The sequence below is a fragment of the Homo sapiens genome, chromosome 10 (genome assembly GCF_000001405.40).
Source record: "Homo sapiens chromosome 10, GRCh38.p14 Primary Assembly".
Taxonomy (NCBI): Eukaryota; Metazoa; Chordata; class Mammalia; order Primates; family Hominidae; genus Homo; species Homo sapiens.
In genome coordinates, this window is record NC_000010.11 from 93,283,801 (window position 1) to 93,300,807 (window position 17,007).

Genomic DNA, 17,007 nt, shown 5'->3' on the forward strand with positions numbered 1-17,007 from the left:
AGGGTGCCAGAAACAGAGGAAATATTTGAGTAAGACAGGTCCTTCCTGGAGGAGGTGTCCCTAACTCAAAGCTTAGAGGGGAGTAGGTTTAGGGGGCAGGGAGCGGCAACTGTTTCTGAGAAAGAGGAAGGAAAAGAAGATGGAGAAGTTGTGTAAAGTTTTTTTTTTTTTTCCTTTTAATTACATTTACTTTAATGCTGAATTTGCTCTCGTGCCATAAGTTTTTGCTTCTGCAGTTTCTTCTGGGATATCTTTTTCTTCTGGGCAACCTCCTCTTCTGGTTTATGAACAATCTGTTCCTTTTCCAGTAAGAATCATCTCAATGCGGCAGGGAGAGCTCATGTATGGGTTAATCCGACCATGAGCTCTGTAGGTCCGGCGGCGCATCTTAGGTGCCTTGTTCACTTGGATATGCTCAATGACCAGAGAATCTACATCTAAACCCTTAAGTTCAGCATTACTCTCTGCGTTTTTAAGCATATGCAGCAAAAATTCAGCACTCTTTCTGGGCCACCGAAAGAGTGTCCAGCCCCACTGCTTGGCCTGCGCACACCTGCCAACTCCAGCATTGTAACGTCGGAATGGTACGCACTGTTTCTGTAAAGTGACATCTTTAAGATACTTCGTGGCTTTTCGTATATGCATACCCTTGATGGCCTGAGCAGTTTCACAAGTGTTCTTAAAGTGAACACGAAGATTGGAACTCTTGATTTGCATTATTTCATGGGGTTCTCCAGGTCAAGTGAATAGCGAACCATTTTCACAGATTACCTCAGGCTGCTTAGGGAAAGAGCGAAGTTGTGTAAAGTTATTGTGGCATTTGAAGTTAAAAAATGAAGGAGTCAATTCACAGGCACTTAGAGGGGTAGGGGAGGAGAGCTGAGAGAACTCAGGTGGAGGGGAAATGGCTGACTTAGCTCTGTCTATGGGGGAAGTTAAGTGGGCTAAGAACCAGTGGGGTTGGGTAAGGGGGTGATGGATTGGGGACTTCAGGTCTTGATGCTGTCTCTGTAGGGCCTGAAGGTTGTGGGGGAGTCAGGAACTTGGAGCCCATACCTTGAAGGCAAGGTATTTCCACAGGGTTAGTAGGGGAGGGAAAAATGGCTTCCCTCTACCCTTCTAGGCTCTTCGGCCAGGCTACAAATTAAATTGACATAAAACAAATGAACAGGAGAAAAAGCATTTTGATTACATGCATACACAGAGAGTCACACCAAATATGAGACTCGAACAAGGGCCAGAAGATGGAAGCTTATATACAGCATCCTGAGCTAAAGACAGGAATAGGGGCCCAGAGCTTCTTGGGGGTGGCAGAGACAGGCAATGGGAGGGTGAGGGGAGGAGATATGTGGTGAATGGAGGTTGTCTTGTTACGCAGATGAAAGTCGGGCAATAAACGTTTTCTGGAGCAGCCCTCTTCCTGATACAAATATTTTTTACTAATGTCCATTTTCTTTATGGATGTAAATTTCTTTTATAAAATGACAGCTTTTCAGAGCTACTGCTGTGCCTGCAGTTTCTCAGAATAAGCAGCTCAAAATATGCCAAAGAAGTATATTTTGGGGTGGCATATTCTGGTCTCCTACAGTCATATTTTGGGGTGGTGTGTCCCAAGGCCCAATAGGTGTGAGTGGTGTCTGGGCTGGGGGTGTTGGGGGTGCCTCCAGTGGAGTTAAGACTGAAAGTTACAGCATCTTAGAAGGCCAAAGGTCAAGGCATTGGGGGTATCCCCATAAGTGATGACAGGCAAGAGTGTGTCAGGTACCAAAGTCTTCCAGGAACAATGGCAAGGAGGGCAGAGGAGGGTGGTGATGAGGATGAGGGGAGAACTTCGTAAGTGATTGTGAAGACTTCCGATTTGAAGAGGTGGGACAGTGGTGATGGTTTAGTGACTTGGAGGAGAAAGAGGAAGCCTCAACCTTTTCTTTTTAGAGGCAGTAAGAAATACTGAGGCTTTGAGTATCAGTGTTATAGACTGAATGTGTCCCCCCAAATTATTATTATTATTTTGAGATGGAGTTTTGCTCTTGTTGCCCAGGCTGGAGTGCAATGGTGTGATCTCAGCTCACTGCAACCTCCGCCTCCCAGGTTCAAGCAATTCTCCTGCCTCAGCCTCCCCAGTATCTGGGATTACAGGCACCTGCCATTGTGCCTGGCTAATTTTTTGTATTTTTAGTACAGATGGGGTTTCACCATGTTGGCCAGCCTGGTCTCAAACTCCTGACCTCAGGTGATCCGCCCGCCTTGGCCTCCCGAAGTGCTGGAATTACAGGCATGAGCCACCGTGCCTGGCCTGTCCCTGCCCCTGCCCCCAACCCCCCCATTCATAAGTTGAAATCCTAACCCCCAGTGTGACAGTATTGGGAAGTGGAGCCTTTGGGAGGTGATTAGGCATGAGGGTGCAGCCCTCATGGATGAAAGGAGTGCCCTTATACGAGGGACCACAGAGAGCCCACAGCAGCTTTAAGCTAGAAGAGCTCTCAGGTCATCCAGTCTAATAGAGGGGAAAAAGGAGGCCCCAAAATGCCACAGATGAGGGAAGATGAGGGAGTTCCAGTGGGGTCATGCTGTTTAGGGCTCTGCTGGAAGCTACACGAGAGAGGGAGTGCAGTGGGGAAATGGTCAAAAGTTGTGTCCAGAGTGGACGGGCTATAGTCAAATCCTGGTTCTCTTATTAGCACAGGGCCTAAAACTCAATAGATGTGAGTTATTGTTATAATTATTATTACTTCAACAGAGGACTAGAAATAGGTTAAGGAGGGCTCTGGAAATGACTGGGAGTGATCCCAGAATCTGCAAGGTCCACAGCCAGGCCTCACATTGGGTAGGTAGGGGTGTGTGTGTGTGTGTGTGTGTTCGTGTGTGCACATGTGTTGGAGGAGTGGGCCTTGTCTCTTTCCAGGTGCACACAGGGGGCGTAAAGCTTGTCTTCTAAGTATGGGTGACATTCTAATGAGCCAAATGAACATGCTATTGGCAAGTGAGTGTTCCTTGTTCATTTGCTTTTGATCTGAGTCCCAGGCACTGGCCTCCCTCTTTAGTGAAAGGGATGCGCAAATTCTGTTTCATCTCCAGTTTCCAAGCTTGGCAGAAGCCCTCTGCCTGGAAATTGCCTTACTCTGCAGTTGACAGTGCTTACTTACCTCTGCATGCTCAGGGTCTGATAGAGACTGGGTGCTCTCAGGCTGGGCGCAGTGGCTCATGCCTGTAATCCCAGCACTTTGGGAGGCTGAGGCGGGCGGATCACTTGAGGTCAGGCGTTTGAGACCAGCCTGACCAACATGGTGAAACTCTGTCGCTACTAAAAATATGAAAATTAGCCAAGCGTGGTGGCAGGTGCCTGTAATCCCAGCTACTCGGGAGGCTGAGGCAGGAGAATCGCTTGAACCCAGGAGGTGGAGGTTACAATGAGCCAAGATCGTGCCCTGGCACTCCAGCCTGGATGACAGAGCAAGACTGTCTCAAAAAAAAAAAAAAAAAAAAAAAAAAAAGTGGGTGCTCTCTAGTTGTTCAGTCAGTGAATGAATATGCCTTCATGTCTTCCGGTGAGGAGATGGCTCTCTCACCACCTCTACCTTGGGTTGGCTGTATGGGGTTAAGTAAGGAGGAATTTGACAAATGGGGGTTTAAATCCGACATTTATCATTTACTACCTGTGACTTTCTCCAAATCATTTAACTTCACAGAGCCTCAAATTGCTCATCTATAAAACGCCAATAATTATTTCACCTTAGGATTCAGTGATAAGTGGCTGTAACGTTCTCAGCATCATGTCTGCCTGGCATGGCACTCTTGGTAATGATGAGTATATCTTATTGTCATCATAGAGCTGGGTATGACAGCAGGTGCAGATACGCCTTCTCTTTATTTATTTAAAGCTGAGTGCCTCTCTTGTCCCACATTCTAGAAAGTGCTAGGGATAGAAGACATTCTCCCTGCTTCCCACTTCGTATCCACTTGATTTGGTGCTTCAGTGAAAGAAAAGCCAAGCAAACCTTTCCTTGATTCCAACCCTGAGGTGCCTTCAGCCTCAGGTTTGTTTCCCCCGCAGAGCAGCCAGGTAACTGCAAACAGCCCTGGTGTTTTGGGGTGCTCATCACAAGCAGGAGAAATCCTCTGCCTGGAAATTACTTTAATTTGCAGTTGACAAAAAGGTAAATTGCTGGCATTTTTTGCTTGGAGCCTGGAATGTAACCTTGCATGGCTGCCCCAGACATTCCAGGTGGCAGCTTCCATTAGCCAGCCCAGATTTCTAGCTTAAAGGAGGGGGAGAAAAAGAACTTCAGTAATTTTGCAAGGGCAAACCCCTCAATCATTATTTAATTCTGCCAATTTCTTTCCTTCTTTCTTTTCTTTTCCTTTCTTTTTCTTTCTTTCCTTCTTTCCTTCTTCCTTTCTTTCCTTTCTTTCTTTCTCTTTCTTTCTTTCTCTCTCTCTTTCTTTTTTTTTCTCTCTCTCTTTCTTTCTTCTTCCTTTTTTTTTTTTTTTTTTTTGAGGCAATCTTGATCTGTTGCCCAGACTGGAGTGCAGTGGTGCGATCTCAGCTCACTGCAAACTCTGCCTCCCGGGTTCAAGCGATTCTCCTGCCTCAGCCTCCTGAGTAGCTGGGATTACAGGTGTGCGCCACCACGCCCAGCTAATTTTTGTATTTTTAGTAGAGACGGGGTTTCACCATGTTGGTCAGGCTGGTCTCGAACTCCTGACCTCGTGATCTGCCTGCCTTGGCCTCCCAAAGTGCTGGGATTACAGGCGTGCACCACCATGCCTGGCTAATTTTTGTATTTTTAGTAGATACGTGGTTTCACCAGGTTGGTCAGGCTGGTCTTGAACTCCTGACCTCGTGATCTGCCTGCCTCGGCCTCCCAAAGTGTTGGGATTACAGGCGTGAGACACCGCGCCTGGCCAATTCTACCAATTTCTATTCCTTCAAGTTCCCTGCCACTCCTGTCCGTATGTACAGCAGAGCCAATATGGACATCCCGTCACAAGGTCTGTTTTCCTTTGCTTAACCTTCAATCCTGTATTATGACAGTCTGCAGGCTTGTAATTTTTCGTTGCATGAGAGACTCCTTCCTGTGATCTACCACTGTTTGATTTGCGACTCGCTATGGGTCATGAGAGCAGGCCCTTCTGTTTTATTCCTTTGCAGGATAACTGGGATGCGGTAGGCTTTTAGTACATAATTGTTGAAGGAATGAAGGGGCGAATGAATGCGTGAGTTCCAGCGTTTCCCAAGGCCAGAGCGTTTTTGTCTGTCTAGTCATAGATTTCCATAGCATTCCAGAAGGAAGGGCATCGTTTAGATGCGGTGCTGGTCGCCTTCCACTTAAAATATGTCCCAGAGATGCCTGTCTGGGGTGGGGTTCCATGGAATGCAGACTGAATGGAATGCCTTTTAGGCCCGGTGAGAACCTGAGGCCACTGCTGCCATCTTGTGGACAGTATTTGAAACACAGGAGACGTGATGGCCGTTTCTCCCAAAGAAACCTTGGCTGATTCTATTACATGATGAAATATTCTCCTTAGCAGTGCATTAGGCCATGTTACCAGACCCATCCTTAACCTATTTGTATTCCTCTGTTGAAATAATAATAATATAATAACAACAACAACAATAACTCCCATTTGCTGAGTTTTAGGCACTGTGCTAGTAAGAGAACCAGGATTTGACCTCATCCCATCCACTCTGGACCCAACTTTTGGCCATTTCCCCACACTCTTTCGTTTTTTGAGTTCTTTCTCTTCTTTCCCTTCCAACTCTCTACTGTGATTATGTATCAGTCCCTGTAGTCACATCTTGTCTCAATGATTTGCTTATGTGTTTGCCTTTCCAACAAGACAGTGACCACCTTGATGACTGGTCAGAGCTGTTGAGTACAGGGATTTCATTGACCTCTGTGCACCAACTATGCACCAGGCCCTGTGCTAGATTAGGAGTGTGTGAACACACGTCAAACTGGACTGTAGGCCTTCCCAGTGTACGTGTGCAGGGTGTGTATAAAGCCATGGGAGAGACGTGGAGTGTGTTTCTGGAATATATTATAATTGAAGATGGACAAAGGCAGTGGTGGAGAGATTGGTAATTTAATTAGTTATTTACAACCTCGTTTTTATATAAACCGGCCTCCCCAGCACTGCTCAGGTGAACCTTAACCATTATTATTATTTTTTTGAGACAGAGTTTCGCTCTTGTTACCCAAGCTGGACTGCAATGGCGCAATCTCAGCTCACTACAATCTCCACATCCCGGGTTCAAGCGATTCTCCTGCCTCAGCCTCCTGAGATCACAGGCGTGCACCACCATGCCTCGCTAAGTTTTGTATTTTTTAGTGGGAATGGGGTTTCACCATGTTAACCAGGCTGGTCTGGAACTCCTGACCTCAGATGATCTGCTCGCCTCGGCCTCCCAAAGTGCTGGGATTATAGGCGTGAGCCACCGCGCCCAGCCAACCATTATTGAATTTATATGTACAGACATTTCTTTGCTACTTACCCTGGAGCACTTGACACAGAGTTGCTTGAATGTGAAGCAATTTATTTGCAGCTGGGGATGTAAAGGGTGGAGGAGAAATAGCCTCTCTCTTTGAGACTCTCTGGAATGGAAGGGAACACAAAGTGAATATCACATATGCCATATAGCCTCTATTTTAAGTTGGACTGCCCCCAACGTATCCTCTGTGTTGGATGAAGAAAACACAGGCAGTTTTCATTTGAGGCAGTACTAGACAGAATCAAAGCTGATTAAAGTAAAAAGATTGTGAAATGGAATGCAAGAATTAGAATAAATGTATAAATTAAAGCAAGGCTTTCAGAAAGCTTTAAACCTCCAGGCAAAACCTAAAGGTTTTTAGTCAATTTCCCTTTGTATTGGGCTATTTGGGTAAAAGTTCACCAAGGGTCATATGTCATGCCAGTATATAAAGCAATGTCACACAGAGTGACTGAACTCAGGGTAGCCATCTTTTCTCCTTGATTCAAGACCTGAGTATGGCGCACTCATCACTGGTCAGGCACAAGGCCAGATGCTTCAGGGACAGGGAAAGAAGAGGACAGAGTCTCTGTTCCTGTTGGGGGCTGGCAGGTTTCCCAGCTTTAAGTACCAGCATCACCGGTACCACCTGTACTGTACCAGTAACAACACCTATAAGGGCTAAAGACAAAATGGAGAGACAAGAGATACAGAGAGGAAAGCAGCAGAGGGAGGAGAGGGTGGGAGAGGAAGAGCAGAGTGAGGGGATGGATTCTAGAGGAGGTGACAGAGATGACTCAGACACCTTAGAGGAGGCCTGGACTCAGCTCAAACAGAAGTGTCCTCTTCGGGCCCTTCTAAAATGCCTGGCAGCAACCAATGTCCCATGACTGTCCCCAGCAGCCCGCGAAGTTACTGCCCTTTGTGACTGCAAGGAGGTCTGATTGCTGGACCTGCATGGTGTGTGTCCCCAGCACTGGCATGTTTGTTCTGAGGTCAGGAGTACTGCAGAGAAAGCAGTCTCACTAGTATTCATATTTTTCCATCATCATGCTGTCTGAATGTGCCAGCCTTCTGGACAGAGAAGCTTGGCTTGTGACCGGGTCGGGAGTGAGAAAAGGGCATGAATGATGGCCCCCTCAAGTGAGGGAAAGCTTCTGAAACAAGCATGCCTGCAGGAGCCTGAGCGAGTATGTGCATGTGGCACTGGCATGGACCCACTTCTGCGCAGAGGTGGCGTGGCTTCCACCCAGGTGTGACCTCTGGATGCCACCCCCACCTGCATGCTGGGCTCACAGAGATGTCCCCCGGCAGCAGCAAAGGGCCTGGAGGCCCGTCCTCCCTGAGAGCAGAGCTTTGATCTTTTCACCATCAGGATCATTATCAAACGTCTCAGGGAAAGGAAAAATATTTGGGAAAGAATTTAAAAGCTGTACTCTTTGAAATAGGTATGAATGCCAGCCATCTCAGCATAGTTCTTCAAAGGACTGCTTTTGTAGTATTCTCTGACTTTTATTAAAAGCTGTTATGGGAAACATTTCTGCCCTCTACAAATATACAAATAAGAACAACAAGGGTGGGCACGGTGGCTCACTCCTGTAATCCCAGAACTTTGGGAGGCCAAGGCAGGTGGATCACCTGAGGTCAGGAGTTCAAGACCAGCATGGTCAACATGGTGAAACCCCGTCTCTACTTAAAATACAAAAATTAGCTGGGCAGGGTGACGGGTGCCTGTAATCCCAGCCACTTGGGAGGCTGAAGCATGAGAATTGCTTGAGCCTGGGAGGGGGAGGTTGCAGTGAGCTGAGATCACACCATTGCGCTCCAGCCTGAGCGACAGAGTAAGACTCTGTCTCAAAAAAAAAAAAAAAATAAGAAGAACAGTGAATATTAATGGGAGCTTCACAAATGTAGGACCTGCGCTAAGATCCTGATGAGCCATTTCTGTCACTTTTGGTATAATAACTTTTTTTCTGAAGGCCTGTATGTTTTTACAATGAACCCTAAAATCTGAGACAGGTCTCAGTCAATTTAGGAAGTTTATTTTGCCAAAGTTAAGGATGCGTGCCCAATACACAGCCTCAGGAGTTCCTGACGACATGTGCCCAGGGTGGTCAGAGCACAGCTTGGTTTTATCCGTTTTAGGAGACATGAGACATGAATTAATATATGTTTCCATTCAGAAAGGCAGGACAACTCAAAGTGGGAAGGGCCAGATCATAGGTAGTTAAGAGATTGGCAAAATAAACTTTCTGTTTTTTTTTTTTTTGTTTTTTTTTTTTTTTTTTTTTTTTTTTTGTTGTTGTTGTTGTTTTTGGAGATGGAGTCTTGCTCTGTCGCCCAGGCTGGAGTGCAGTGGCATAATCTTGGCTCACTGCATGCTCCGCCTCCCGGGTTCACGCCATTCTCCTGCCTCAGCCTCCCGAGTAGCTGGGACTACAGGTGTCTGCCACTACGCCTGGCTAATTTTTTTGTATTTTTAGTAGAGATGGGGTTTCACCGTGTTAGCCAGGATGGTCTCGATCTCCTGACCTTGTGATCTGCCCGCCTCAGCCTCCCAAAGTGCTGGGATTATGGGTGTGAGCCACCGAGCCCGGCCACAAAATAAACTTTCTAAATAGACTGAGACCTGTCTCAGATATTTGGGGTTCACAAGACAAAGGTTGCATTCTTTTGAGTTTCTAATGAGACTTTTCAAAGGAGGCAACCAGATATGCATTTATCTCAGCAGAGGGATGACTTTGAGTTCTGTCTGTCCTTTGTCCACAGCAAATTTCCTTGTGACGGAGGTATGTAGCTTTTTTATCTTAGTAGATATCTTTTATTTATTTATTTTTTTGGATGGAGTCTCACTTTGTCTCCCAGGCTGGAGTGCAGTGGCGTGATCTTGGCTCACTGCAAACTTCACCTCCCAGGTTCAAGTGATTCTCCAGCCTCAGCCCCCTGAGTAGCAGATGCCCACCACCATATTTGGCTAATTTTTTGTATTTTTAGTAGAGATGGGGTTTTACCATGTTGGCCAGGCTGGTCTCGAACTCCTGGCCTTAACTGATCCACCCGCCTCGGCCTCCCAAAGTGCTGGGATTACAGGCATGAGCCACTGCGCCTGGCCTTTAATAAATATCTTTTTTAGGAATAGAATGGGTGGCAAGTTTGCCCTAAGCAGTTCTCAGCTTGACTTTTCCCTTTGGCTTAATGATTTTGAGGTCCCAAGATTTATCTTCCTTTCATATTACCAACCAGTTAAGAACAGCCAGAGGACAAATATTCCCCTCACGGATGTTCCAAGTCACTTTTTAAACCCAAATCAGAGCAGTACATTGACTCTTAGAACATTTGCTTTTCTTCTTATACCTTTATTTTAATCTTGTGGAAATTCTATTTTACTGCTTGATTCTACTTTTTGTCTTTTTTTGTGAGTGAACTCAAAGTGCCCTCTCCTCTTTTTAAAAGAAATATGAAGAAGTTTAATTTGAAAATTGATGAGGCTTCAAGACAGACTTGTAGATCTTAGCGTCCTGGATGGGGACTTGCTCAGCGTACTTGAAGCATATTGAGGATTCTTTAGTAGAATTCACATTTTCCAAGAGCAAAGAGTCCAAGTACATGCTCTTTCTAAAGGGCACTGGAGGACTTCTCTACTTCTCCCGACCCAGAGGGGAGACTACTGTCCCCACAGGAGGTCCTCAAAACAGACTTGTGGCAGGCCCCTTCTTCCCCATTGCGTTTGAGGGCCAGCAATCAAGGTGGAGAAAGTCACCCCATGCAGATGGAAAGAGTGGCTAAGGAATGGCCATTAATTCTGGCTGGAACCTTCTCAAGACTCTACTTGGGGCGGGGTATAAATTGGTACTACATTTCAGGAAGCAACTGGCAATGTATCTCAAGGGCATTAAATATGCTCGTGCCCTCTGACTCAGGAATTCCCCTTTGACTCAGGAATGAATAAGAAATTCATTTGCCCATTCATTGATGCTGCTCTATCTCATGCACAAGGTTGGGTGAACAAGACAAACATTGTCCCTGACCTTATACTGTTAACAATTTAATAGATCTAGAGGCCCCAAAATACAGGCAAAGATCTTTGTCCATGGATGTTTAAAGCAGCATTGTAAATAGCAAAGAATTGGAAACAATATATATTGTTACATATATCCTCAGTGATAGGGGATTAAATTAGAGTAGATCCATGTGATGGAATTTTAAATGACCATTATAAATTAGGTTTTGAAATTCATAAATTGTGGAAAATGTTTATGAAATACAATTTTTTTTTTTAAGATGGAATCTCGCTCTGTTGCCCAGGCTGAAGTGCAGTGGCGCAATCTCGGTTCACCACAACCTCTGCCTCCCGGGTTCAAGCGATTCTCCTGCCTCAGCCTCCCGAGTAGCTGGGATTACAGGCACGCGCCACCATGCCCAGCTGATTTTTGTATTTTTAGTAGAGACAGGGTTTCACTATGTTGGCCAGGCTGGTCTCGAACTCCTGACCTCGTGATCCGCCCACCTCGGCCTCCCAAAGTGCTGGGATTACAGGCGTCAGCCACTGTGCCCGGCCTATGAAATACAATTTTAAGAGAGGGAAGAAAAGCAAGATATAAAACTGGAGAGTTGGCTAGGCATGGTGGCTCATGCCGGTAATCCCAGCACTTTGGGAGACTGAGGCGGTTGGATCACTTGAGCCCAGGAGTTCGAGACCAGTCTGGGCAACAAGACAAAACTCCTTTTCTCCAAAACAAAAATAAAAACAAAAATTAGCCAGACATGGTGGTGCGTGCTTGTAGTCCCAGCTACGTGGGGGGCTGAAGTGGGAGGATCATCTGAACCTGGGGAGGTCAAAGCTGCACTGAGCCATGATTGTGTCACTGTACTCCAGCCTGGGCAACAGAGCAAGCTCCTGTCACAAAAAACAAACAAAAGCCTTGGAGAATCATGAAGGCAAGGCCAGGGAAGTTCTGGAGGTGGGATCCCAATTTTATGTCTTTAAAAACGGCAAGAGTAGAAGGAAACACCACAAAATAATGTTAACAGTAGTTATCTCATGATAGATTATGGATTTTTAATGTTCTTTTTTATGCTTTTTCCCAATAAAGTATCTGCAGTGAATATAAATGAATTTTAAAATTTTTAAAGAAAAAATATTTCTAGGAGTTATGTTCAGGGCTTCTATGCTGTGGATATAAGGGAAGAATTATCCCTTAGATTCCCCCAGCTGTAACATTCCTTCTAGGCCAAGCTTGTGTAGCCTGCGGCCCAGAGGCCACATGCAGCCCAGGACGGCTTTGAAAGCAGCGCAATACAAATTCATAAACTTTCTTAAAACGTTATGAGAGGTTTTTTTTTTGGTGATTTTTTTTTTTTAAATCTCATCAGCTATCGTTAGTGTTCATGTATTTTATGTGTGGCCCACTTCTTCTTCCAGTGTGGACCAGGGAAGCCAAAAGATTACGTACCTCTGGTTTCGGATTTATTCATTTGTAATGTGTAGCTACAGTGCACTCACATTCACCACTTTATAGTATTTTATTAAATGACTATACCTCAATTTATTATCCAATCTACTGTTAATGGAAAACATGAGAGTTTCTCCAATGTTCTGCAATTTCAAACATTTAAAAATTTTTCTTCAAGTGCGCTGTGTTAATGTCTCCTTAGGGTACAAATCTAAGAGTAGGGTTGCTGGGTCACAGAGCAGGGACTGATACCTTTGGTAGATAATGACAAATTGTTTTTTACTGTGGTTTTACCTGTTTAAACATCTACCAGCTATGTATAAAAATATATGTTGTTGCACAGCCCTCTTGAGTCTTGATGTCAAAGACTTTTAAATTTTTTGCCAATTTGGAGTATGTGAAATGATAGTTCATTGTGGTTTTAATTTATATTTTCTTCCTTTTTAATCAAATTGAGCATTGCCATATTGGCCATGTGAATTTTCATTGCTGAGAGGAGGCTGTTCAGGAGATGCTGATTGTATGTCCCTAGAATCTTGGGGTCATGGCTGACTTGGAGCAGCTGGGGAGGGTGAGGAGGGCCCAGGAAGGAGCAGGGTGCTACCCTGAAGTCCAGCGTGGAGCCATGGGGAGCAGGGGCCTGGCCACAATGGCAGAGACATGTAGAGGGTGCTGCCCAGCAGGGAACTTCTGGTTGATTCTCTGTCTTGGTTAGAGGCGAGCCTACTCTGGTTACTTTGATAACAAAATGCACCCACGTCCCACCCTCAGCATCCTGAGGAGCTGGGCAGCAAACGTCCATGGAGCAAGGCAGGGGACTTGGGGTGACTGGCAGGCACATGACTCCAGACAATTTCTGAACAGTGAAATGCTGGCAGACTTTTCAATGTGTGGGGAAAAGCTCAAAATATAATCTTTAATGTGACTTTTTCCAATGGTTAAACATCGTCAGCTAGTTAAATAAAGGTGGTTTGGGCCAAATCAGCTGTGTCTGTGGGTGCTGGAGGTAGCTGTCAAAAGGCTCAAAGTGACCCGAGCTTTGGTTATGAGACAAGGTTCACTCCTCAGACAATCAGCAAGTATTACCTGTCTCCTGAGGCCTGGGGACCTACTTTTGTGTAGGGAACAGGAGAAAAAATAGGCCCCTGACTTCATGGAGGCATCGTCTGAGAGGACACTCGTTCTTTTAGCACTTTTGTGTGTGTGATAAAACAGGCATGATGTAAAATTTACTACTTGTAGCTGTTCAGTTCAGTGGCATAATTGCATTCACATTGTTGCACGCCACAGAACTCTTTTCATCTTACAAAATGGAAATTCTGTACTCATTAAACACCGACTCCCCATTCCTCCCCTTCCCCTAGCCTCCTCTGGCAGCCACCATTCTACTTTTTGTCTCCATAGATTTATTTATTTATTTAGAGACAGACTCTCGCTCTGTTGCTCAGGCTGGAGTGCAGTGGTGTGATCTCGGCTCACTGCAACCTCCGTCTCTCAGGTTCAAGCTATTCTCCTGCCTCAGCCTTCCGAGTAGCTGGGATTACAGGCATGTGCCACCACGCCCTGCTAATTTTTGTATTTTTAGTAGAGACGGGGGTTTCACCATGTTGGCCAGGCTGGTCTCGAACTCCTCATCTCAGGTGATCTGCCCACCTGGGCCTCCCAAAGTGCTGGGATTACAGGTATGAGCCACCACTCCTGGCCGTCTCTATAAATTTGACTACTCTAGGAACCTCATATAAATGGAATCATACAACATTTGTCCTTTTGCATTTGGCTTATTTCACCTAACATACTGCCTTCAAGAGTCACCCATGTTGTAGCATGGGACAGAATTTCCTTTCTTTTTAAACCCAAATAATATTCCATTGTATGTAGATACCACATTTTGCTTATCCATTCATCCATCCATGAATGTCTTAGTCCATTTGGGCTGCTCTTAGAGAATACCATAGACTAGGGGCTTATAAACAACACATTTATTTCTAACATTTCTGGAGGTTGGAAAGTCTAAGCTCAAGGCTCCAGCAGATTCAGTGTCTGGTAAGAATTAACTTGCTTCCTGGTTCACAGATGACCATCTTCTATTTTTTTTTTTTTTTTTTTGTGAGACGGAGTCTCACTCTGTTGCCCAGGCTGGAGTGTGGTGGCACCATCTTGGCTCACTGCAAGCTCCGCCTCCTGGGTTCACGCCATTCTCCTGCCTCAGCCTCCCCAGTAGCTGGGACTACAGGCCCCTACCACCACGCCTGGCTAATTTTTTGTATTTTTAGTAGGACGGGGTTTCATTGTGTTAGCCAGGATGGTCTTGATCTCCTGACCTCGTGATCCGCCCGCCTCGGCCTCCCAAAGTGCTGGGATTACAGGCATGAGCCACCGCGCCCAGCCACAGATGACCATCTTCTTGCTGTGTCTTAACCACTTGGCCACCTCGTCACTATTGTCTTGCTGTGTCTTTATATGGTGGAAAGGACAAGGGACCTTATGTGAGTCTCTTTGATAAGGACAGTAATCCCAGCCATGGGGCCCCTACCCTCATGACCTAATCACCTCTCAAAAGTCTCACCTTGTAATGGTTCCATTACAAACCATTGCCTTGGGGGTTCAGATTTCAACACAGGAATTTGGGTTAGGGCCACAAATATTCAGTCTATAGCAGATTGCTTCTACATTTTGGCTATTGTGAGTAATACTGCTATGAGCATGGGTGTACAAAAATCTCTTCAAAGTCCCTGCTTTCAATTTCTCTTTTGGATATATACCTAGAAGTAGAATTACTGGATTGTATGGTAATTATATATTTAATTTTTTGAGGAATTGCCCTACTCTCCTAGCATTTTTTGTTTTAGAGACGAAGTCTTACTCTGTCACCCAGGCTGGAGTGCAGTGGTGGGATCATGGCTCACTGCAGCCTCTGTCTCTCAGGCTCAAGCCATCCTCCCACCTCAGCCTCCCGAGTAGCTGGGACTACAGGCACGCACCACCATCCCTGGCAATTTATTTTTATTTTTTTGTAGTGACAGTGTCTCCCTATGTTGCCTAGGCTGGTCTTGAACTCCTGAGCTCAAGCGATCTTCCCTACTCAGCCTCCCAAAGTGCTGGGATTACAGCCGTGAGATTAAACCATGTCTGGCCTTTCTTAATATTTTTTACCTGCTTTCTTTAATTCTGATTGTGCATTTAGAACTTGAGGGAAAATCAGTCTCATTTTGGACAGTGTTGATTTATTTCTTTTCTAAGGTCAAATTGCAAGAGCAGAACGGCTATTACCTTCCAGCCTCTATCTGTTTGGCTGTTCTTGTCCCATAATGATGATGACAATTAGAAAAATGATTAGGATGATAAAATATATTGAGGGCTTACTTTGTCCCAAGCATGATTTGAAACACTTTAACATATTGTAAGTCATTTTATCTTCACAATCATTCTATGGAGATTGTTGCCCTAATTTTACAGATGAAGAAACTGAGTCACAGAGAAGCAGACCCATAAAACGATGCTGGGGTGGACAAGATCATTTCATTCAATGCTTACTTTCACCAATGAGGGAAAGGAGCCCCCGAGGGGAGATGCCTCAGGTCGTAAACCAAGCTGGGGTGAACTTGCAGGCTTCCAGACGTCTGGAATCCCCTGGCCCCATGCTCTTGCTGCCTCTAAGACAGGATTCCATTCATTTATTTTGTTTATCCCAGTGACCCAGGCAAAACCTCATCTGAGAGGCTTCTGTGCTGCGTCTGAATCCAGCTGGATCTTCCTGGTCGTCCTCCTGATCATTACTGAGGCAGGACTGAGCTGAAATATGATGGGGGAGGATTACAGGTTTGGCTCTAGGATTTTGTGAAAACACATGGAAGTAGCATATTAGTATTAGTCAAGGACTGAAAGAGCCTTTTTAAGAACTTGAGATAAATTTTAGCAAAATCAGGTTGCCCCGAGGAGCATTCAATGTACCGTGAGAGAGTCTGTCAAAAAATTACGTTTTTTTTCCCCTTGTTCAGTTTATTTAAATAGTAAAAACCTGGAGTCTGCATCGCTTGCAAACTTGCACCCTTGAAATGATGAGTCAGATCCTATGTATGGTGAGCCTGTGTTTTTCATTACGTTCCCTTACTCGTTAGGGTTTGCAGTTAGTCCACGTTACACGTTTCCTTCGTGTTTTTCTTGAACTTCATGAACTCTGGCGTTTCATTTCACGGATGTATATCCAAGGGAAAAGTAGCCTTCCTTTGATCTTCCTCAGGACCCCATTATGTTTAACCTAAGAAAGATTAGGGAGTTTTCATTCAACGCTGAACAAACACAAAATTCAGCTGCAAAAATGGCGAGTGCTTAATCTATTTACAACGTCAACTCCATTATGAACTAATTCCACAGCAAGCCGACTTTGAAAAGAATTCTTCTGAATGGAATTCCCATCTGCCTTTGGAGGCTGGATGCATATGGTCCCAAGTACTAAATGTTTTAGCCTCACAAAGGAATCTGTTTAGCACAAAATATGTACACCGTAGAGGGTGTTTAAACTTTGAGATCACCGTGGCTGTTGGTTCCCTAGATGGGAGTCGAGTTGCTCTTTGTGCCCACTCTGTCTCCCCGAACAGAATGGGCAGTTTCTGGAAAGTTCCCTCACCTTCTAGTTGTGTTTGTCACAACATCTGCTTCACGGTGGTGAAACAAGTCAGCTCCAGTCCTAGGACAAACAATCCTGTGAGCTGGGGTGAGCTTGGAAGGGCAAAAAGCTGCCACTTGGCCAGCACTTGGACGCCAGACAGCTCAGCTTCCCTCTGCCCATTTGGGGTTTCCCAAATGGGTTTTTGAAACTGTCCATCTTTTAAATAGCCCTTTAATGCAACATGCAGGTCCAATTGTGACATATTTTTTTTTCTAGTCTTAAAACGAGAAAGGAAGAACAAAACAAAATCAAGTGTTAGCCTGTCAGGATTTTCAGTTCCCTGTCATGTCATGGCATTGATGGAAATTTATTTTCCTAATGAAGGCTCCAGCGCTAATGGTGGCACTTGCTAGAAACAGTTAGGACTAAGTGTTATTTAATTCACGGTGAAGCGACAATCTGACTGGACTGTGATT

General features: G+C 45.2%; 1 pseudogene, besides 5 other annotated features; it reads right to left on the minus strand.

The window, feature by feature from the left end:
- Positions 166 to 779, minus strand: RPL17P34 (ribosomal protein L17 pseudogene 34; annotated as a pseudogene).
- Positions 4,690 to 5,463: an enhancer, noted in NCBI's record as "H3K27ac hESC enhancer chr10:95048247-95049021 (GRCh37/hg19 assembly coordinates)". NCBI's record gives its function as "activates a minimal SCP1, AML or CMV promoter by ChIP-STARR-seq in naive H9 embryonic stem cells {active_cell/tissue: H9 hESC(naive)}" and the evidence as "EXISTENCE:reporter gene assay evidence [ECO:0000049][PMID:30033119]".
- Positions 4,690 to 6,273: a biological region, named in NCBI's record as "P300/CBP strongly-dependent group 1 enhancer GRCh37_chr10:95048576-95049775".
- Positions 5,019 to 6,218: an enhancer, noted in NCBI's record as "P300/CBP strongly-dependent group 1 enhancer chr10:95048576-95049775 (GRCh37/hg19 assembly coordinates)". NCBI's record gives its function as "activates an origin of replication core promoter dependent on BRD2, BRD4, P300/CBP, MED14 and CDK7 cofactors, with strong dependence on P300/CBP, by STARR-seq in HCT116 cells {active_cell/tissue: HCT116}" and the evidence as "EXISTENCE:reporter gene assay evidence [ECO:0000049][PMID:35650434]".
- Positions 5,773 to 6,273: an enhancer, noted in NCBI's record as "H3K27ac hESC enhancer chr10:95049330-95049830 (GRCh37/hg19 assembly coordinates)". NCBI's record gives its function as "activates a minimal SCP1, AML or CMV promoter by ChIP-STARR-seq in naive H9 embryonic stem cells {active_cell/tissue: H9 hESC(naive)}" and the evidence as "EXISTENCE:reporter gene assay evidence [ECO:0000049][PMID:30033119]".
- Positions 6,274 to 6,774: an enhancer, noted in NCBI's record as "H3K27ac hESC enhancer chr10:95049831-95050331 (GRCh37/hg19 assembly coordinates)". NCBI's record gives its function as "activates a minimal SCP1, AML or CMV promoter by ChIP-STARR-seq in naive H9 embryonic stem cells {active_cell/tissue: H9 hESC(naive)}" and the evidence as "EXISTENCE:reporter gene assay evidence [ECO:0000049][PMID:30033119]".